Source organism: Homo sapiens, chromosome 2, assembly GCF_000001405.40.
Source record: "Homo sapiens chromosome 2, GRCh38.p14 Primary Assembly".
NCBI lineage: Eukaryota > Metazoa > Chordata > Mammalia > Primates > Hominidae > Homo > Homo sapiens.
In genome coordinates this window covers 114,039,806-114,045,805 of record NC_000002.12, presented here as the reverse complement: position 1 = coordinate 114,045,805, position 6,000 = coordinate 114,039,806, and the positions used below count along the sequence as shown (strand labels likewise).

The 6,000-nt window shown below is 43.9% G+C and overlaps 1 long non-coding RNA gene across 1 annotated transcript; it reads left to right on the top strand.

Annotated features, from left to right (window-relative positions):
- The first annotated feature begins 2,478 nt into the window (after positions 1-2,478).
- Positions 2,479-3,738, top strand: LOC124907876 (uncharacterized). Its single transcript, XR_007087206.1, has 2 exons — positions 2,479-2,627; positions 3,246-3,738. It is a non-coding gene; the product is annotated as an uncharacterized LOC124907876 (long non-coding RNA).
- Positions 3,739-6,000: the final 2,262 nt, after the last annotated feature.

Below are 6,000 nucleotides of genomic sequence, written 5' to 3'. Positions count from 1 at the left end.
GTGGCTCACGTCTGTAATCCCAGCACTTTGGAAGGCCAAGGCAGGCAGATCACCTGAGGTCAAGAGTTTGAAACCAGCCTGGCCAACATGGTAAAACCCATCTCTACTAAAAATAGAAAAATTAGCCAGGCATGTGGTGGTCACCTGTAATCCCAGCTACTTGGGAAGCTGAAAAGAAAAAGAAAAAAAGAACTTTAATGGCATGGCCAGCAAAGCAGAACTTCATCACATATGAATTTATGCTTTTAATTAGTAGTAAGGAAACTGACTTTCTCAAGTCTCAGCCCTTCCATTATTTAATACATTTCGGCAGCAAAAAACCCATTTTGGAGCAGATAGTTGTTTCGTGAAGAAGCATTTCAGTGGCCTCTCTAAAATTATTTAGGTTAAGGCAAGAGCCCATTCATTCTGGAAGAAGAGTATAACTGGATGTTTTTGTCTTAGCAAGGAGCAGAACTTTGCTATGAGAGGTAGAAGTCTGTCTGTGTCCTTTCCTGGTGTTTACATTTGGATCTGCTAATTTAACCCAGGGCCCAGAAGTCTTCTGGTAGACTGGGGAGTAGGGCCCAGGCCCCTGCCTGTTGCATTTAAAGTCATTGAACATGTCCATGGACTAGGGTAGCAGCTGTTGAGGCTCCCTAGAAGAAATGTGCCATCACCGGGAGCATTAATCAGCTTAGGTCCTGTCCCTCATTGAGGAGGGCTGGGGCTGGCACTCGTCGATTCCCTCCAGATCTGCCTCCATCACTGGGAAAGACACTTGCAGAAAACGGCCACATGCATGCTGTCGTGGACTAAATTATGCCCTCCCACAGCTTTTATGTTGAAGCCTTAACTCCACAATGTGACTATATTAGGAGACTGGGGCATTAAAAAGGTAACAAAGATTAAATGACATCACAGGGTGTGGCCCTAACCTGATATTAGAGTTCTTTCCTTCTCTCTCTACCATGTAAGGACACAGAAAGAAGGTGGTTATCTGCTAACCAGGAAGACACCATACCAGAACCTGACCCTGCTGGACCATGATCTGAGACATCTAGCCTCCGGAACTGTGGGAAAATAGATTTCTGTTGTTTAAGCCACTCAGTCTATGGTATTTTATTATGGAAATATGAATTGCCTAATACAACTATTATCATTCTTATTTGGTGAGTGAAAAAACTGGACTCAGGAAGATTAAGCAACTTGCTCGAGATCATATAGCCAGTACGTGGTAGAGCCACTCTTCATTTTGTCAAGCTTGGAATTCTCATGGAAAGCCACATTCACGTTGATTGACACTGTTACAAAAAAGGAGGTAGGCTGTTTATCACATAATAATGAGAAATGTATAAGCCATTGTAATAGCTTTAGGTGGCCTGAAATAATAGAAAAGAGCAAGGTCTACCAAAAACCCTTGTTGAGTAAATGAATGGATGGATAAATGAAGTCTTCCAGGGTGGAGCTAACAAGGCTTATGGAAGAGGTGACAATTAGGAAGCTGGCATTCTTTCTTCAACACCTTGGACCTTCCCTTAGTGAACATATTCCTCACTCTCACATTCTCTGAACGTTGATCTGTCCCTAGTCACACACCACTGAGAGACCTGGGCTTTGCAGACCTAATTTCTCCTGCTTGTCCCTACAGCATCTTGCATGGAAATGACAATTAACAAATACATGCTGGTTGGTTGCTGCCACCCTCTTCTGCTCTAATTTTTCTGTGTTTGTACTTTTCCTGCCATACAGGTACAGGCTTCATATCTTGATATGAATTTTGTGGTTTTGCCCCTATGTCTGTGCATGTGTCTTTTCCCCTGGCCTCCACTTTGCCTGAGATATAGGGTTGTTATATAGAGAGAATGAATGTCTATAAATTTTACTGCTAAAACAGCAGATGATCCAAGATAAGAAGGTCTGAGATAAGTATATTGTGGTATTATGCACCACCATAGAATTGGACTGAGAATAGAGAGAAAAGAAGACCACCCTATTTCCAACTCATTCTATCCTCGGGGAGACAAGAAGAAGGTCATCAAGAGGGAGGGCCATGAGATGTGAGTGCAAATGTTCTCTGCCACTTGCATGAGTCTGGAAAGAAATAACATTCATACAACCTGTCAGGAAAAGCAACAACATGTCAGGCAAAGCAAATTTACTACTCACAGATAGGCACCAATGATAAACAAAAGCCTAGGATCCACTGAACCAGTTCCCAAGAGCTCAGGAAAACTGCCCAGGGTGGATGAGGTCTCTTCCGTGCTCACCCACATTATATAGCAATTAAGGGACTCCAAAAATGCTCCACCCTGAATTTTATACTCTAGGAATAACTGGAATCACTGAGCTCAAGCAGTACAAGACATCCTGTTCTAGGAGGAATGAGGATATAGCCTGAGCTGTTTTAGACAGTTCTTCCTTGCCTCGGGACGTTGCATTCTAAGTGTATTCTACAGTTATTCTGATAACTGTAAGCAGGAGGCTGGGGGGAGCCGCAAACGCCAAGGCCATTCAGGACCCATCCTCTTACAGCAACCTTAAAAGACATCAGGAGGAGAGATACACCTTCTAGTCTGGGGGCTCAGGGTGAGAGGAGGGGCAGCTCCGGAGTCAGGCCCCAGATGGCTGGTGCCAGGGGGTGGCAGGTGAGCCTCACCAGAGGGTGAAAGCCAAGCCAGCACCTGGAGTCACGAATTACCACATAATGTGCCAGGCTGTCCACATCAGAAGCCCCATTCGGTGTTTATCTCATGGTGTTATTGGAGCCTTCCACCCTCAGCAGCCTGTGCTCTGCCTGTGTTCATCACCAGCTGAGCCCCACCCTCATTGTCTTGTGTGGATTTTCTTTATATTCAACATTAAGATACTAGTTAACCATAGAGCTTACTGTGTTGTGTGTGCAACTGTGTGTTTATGTTAATGTACTTATTAAATCCTCAAAGCAACCCTCAGCAGTAAGTACAGTCATCCCTTGGTATCCTTGGAGGGTTGGTTCCGGGACCCCCCACCCCATACCAAAATCCACAGATGTTCAAGTTTCTTATATCAAATGGTGCAGTATTTGCATGTAACCTACACCCACCTTCCCGTATACTTAAAATCATCTCTAGATTACTTATAATACCTAATACAATGTAAATGCTACATAAATAGTTGTTTACTGTATTTTTAAATTTGTATTTTTACTGTCATATTGTTATTTTGTATTGCTTTTTTTTTTCCAAATATTTTTGATCCATGCTCGGTTGAATCCATGGATACAGAATACCATGAATGTGAAGAGCCAGTTTTACTCCTATATCATCTCCAGTGTGCTGATGAGGAAACCATGGCACAAAGAGGTTAAATAACCTGTAAATAAATAAAGAATCTGAGCTGAGCTTCAAACGTGGGCAGTCTGGCTTCAGGTCCCTGGTTTCCACCACTGTACAACACTGCCTCTCATTACCCAGGATGCACCTAAGACTCCCAGAAATGGGGGCTGGGGCACAAAAGCAGCAGTGGTGGGAAGTGGAAGAAGCAAGCCAGCAGGATACTTCAGTGGCACTAGACAGTGGAGATGCCACCCCCATTACACATGGGTCCACTCTCTACCTTGCACTGGACTCTGTCTCTTACCACAGGCTTAAAATCTTCCAGGGCCAGAGCTCTGCCTTAGTTATCTTGACACATCCACAACCCAAGCATGATGTCTTGTGCATACAAAGAGCTGAGTGAACGCTAGATACATTAAATTGCTAGAAATTATTAATAAAATCTTTATGGTTGAGCATGTTTTTGTCTTGGAGCACTCTGAAGGGTGCATTTCTCAAAGAGGCATGTAATGACACCAGGAATGGAGCTGTTTGGGTCACAGCTCTCTTCTGCTGGGACCAATCCCAGTTTCTTGTTCTCTCGACAGCCTAGAGGGAAATAATAACTTGTTTTTAATAGTGCTTTGCACTTTTCACAATGTTTTTGAAAATACATCACCTAAGTTAATTTTCAAAAACCCCAAATGAAAGGTAGTTAAAGATGATATTACATCTATTACACTTACTGCATGGGTTCATAGACTGAGGCGTTAGAGAGGCAGAATGATGGATCCAAGATTAGGTAGCTAGTCAGTAGCAAAGCAAGGACAATACAATACCTGCTCCCCAGTGTCTGCCTTGGCATTCTTTCCTCTACACATAGATGCAGCCCTCAGACAGTGAGTATACTTCTCACCCTCAGATTCCATAAGCTTTATTCCAAAAGTACCCTTTCACTGGGCTACAGACCTGTTGGGGAAGGTTTTATGTAGGGCCATTGGCATAGAGCCTTGCTAGTTAAACTACCCATTGCTCCTGCCATAGACAAGCAGCATAGCATCACCTGGGAGCTTGCTAGAAATGCAAAATCTTGGACCCATCCGGGACATATTGAATTGAATCCACATTTTAACAAGATCCCCAGGTGATTTGTGTTGCACATAGAGGTTCACAAACCACCCTTCCTGAAGATGTGCCTGTTAGGACCATCATCAACAAATATAAAAAGGTTGAATGTTCTCAGGTGTGTTCTGTGAAAGTTAAATGGGTATTTATATATTTGACTATGTTCAGATATTGCCTTGTTAGCATCACCTGGGACTCACACATGACAAGAATGAAAAGGATATCAGCCCGTGCCTTGGACTGGGACCAGGGAGAAACTTTAGGCAGCATATGCTAGGGAATGCACAGATAAGTCTGTGTGCCTGGCAGTCTCTCCCACGTGGGAAACCTGGGGGAGGGAACACCCGGCCTAACGAGATCTATGTGTGGCTTTTCTGCTCATAAATAGAGTATTGGCAGGCACCATTGTCTTACTACATGCTTTCAGATGCCGCACTGGGGCACCGTGGGGCTCAGTGTTCTGAACGCAAAGGCCCAGCTCTGTTTAGCATAAGCCAAAAAGGTGACTCCTTCCATTACAGAAGCTGCTGTGGCCTGAACTGATTGCATGGAGGTCTGTCACCTTGTCAGTAGACAGGTGGTGGGCTGAATTGGAAGCCTCCTCTGCCCACTCCACCTCTCCTTGCCAGCTCTCATGCGAGACAAAGTCTGAATCAAACACTGTTTTTGATTTTTTGTAAATTATCTCTACAGAATGGTGTGCAGGCTATCACAGACAGAGTGTTTCAAAGAACCAGCTTTTAAAGTGTGTCTAAAAAATTTAAACATCTCAGTAGGTTTTTCTTAACAGAAGCAATTGCTAAACCAATATGAATTTGTTGATTAACCTTAATAGTGCTATAGGGGGTTGAATAATGTCCCCTGAAATTCATGTCCATCCAGAACCTCAGAATATGACCTACTCAGAAATATGGTCTTTTCAGATATAATTAGTTAAGATGAGGTTACACTGGACAAGGGATAGGCCCTCAGGCTAAATAGCTGGGGTCCTTACAAGGGCAGGGGGATCATGGAGCTACGCAGATACACACAGGTGAGAAAGCCACAGGAAGACAGATGTAAAAGTTGGAGGGATGCAGCTACCAGCCAAAGAATGCCAAGGATTGCCAGCCACCAGCAGAGCTAGGAAGTCAGGAAGGATTCTTCCCTAGAGCTCTCAGAGGGAGCGTGTCCCCACCATCACCTTGATGTTGACCTTCTAGCCTCCAGAACTATGAGAAAATAAATTTCTATTATTTTAAGCCTCCCAACTTGTAGTGCACTTTTAAGCAGCCCTAAGAAACTAAAACGGTATCTAATAACTAATGTCACTACCATTATTTTGAGGACTTGCAACATGCAAGGCTCTGCTCTGAGCACTTCACATGTATTTACCAAAAACAGCTTTTGCAAGAGGTACTGTTATTCTCATCTTACATGAGGAAATTAGCATAAAAAACAATACTGAGTCACTTGCCCACGTCTTATCCACTAGACAGGTGGCAGAGCAGGCTCTACCCCAGCTGTAGAGGCCCCACGCAGACTCTCCAGCCTCAAGCTCTGAGAGTTGGGAGATGAACATATGGGCAAGAGATGGTGTGAACACACAGCATCCCCCATT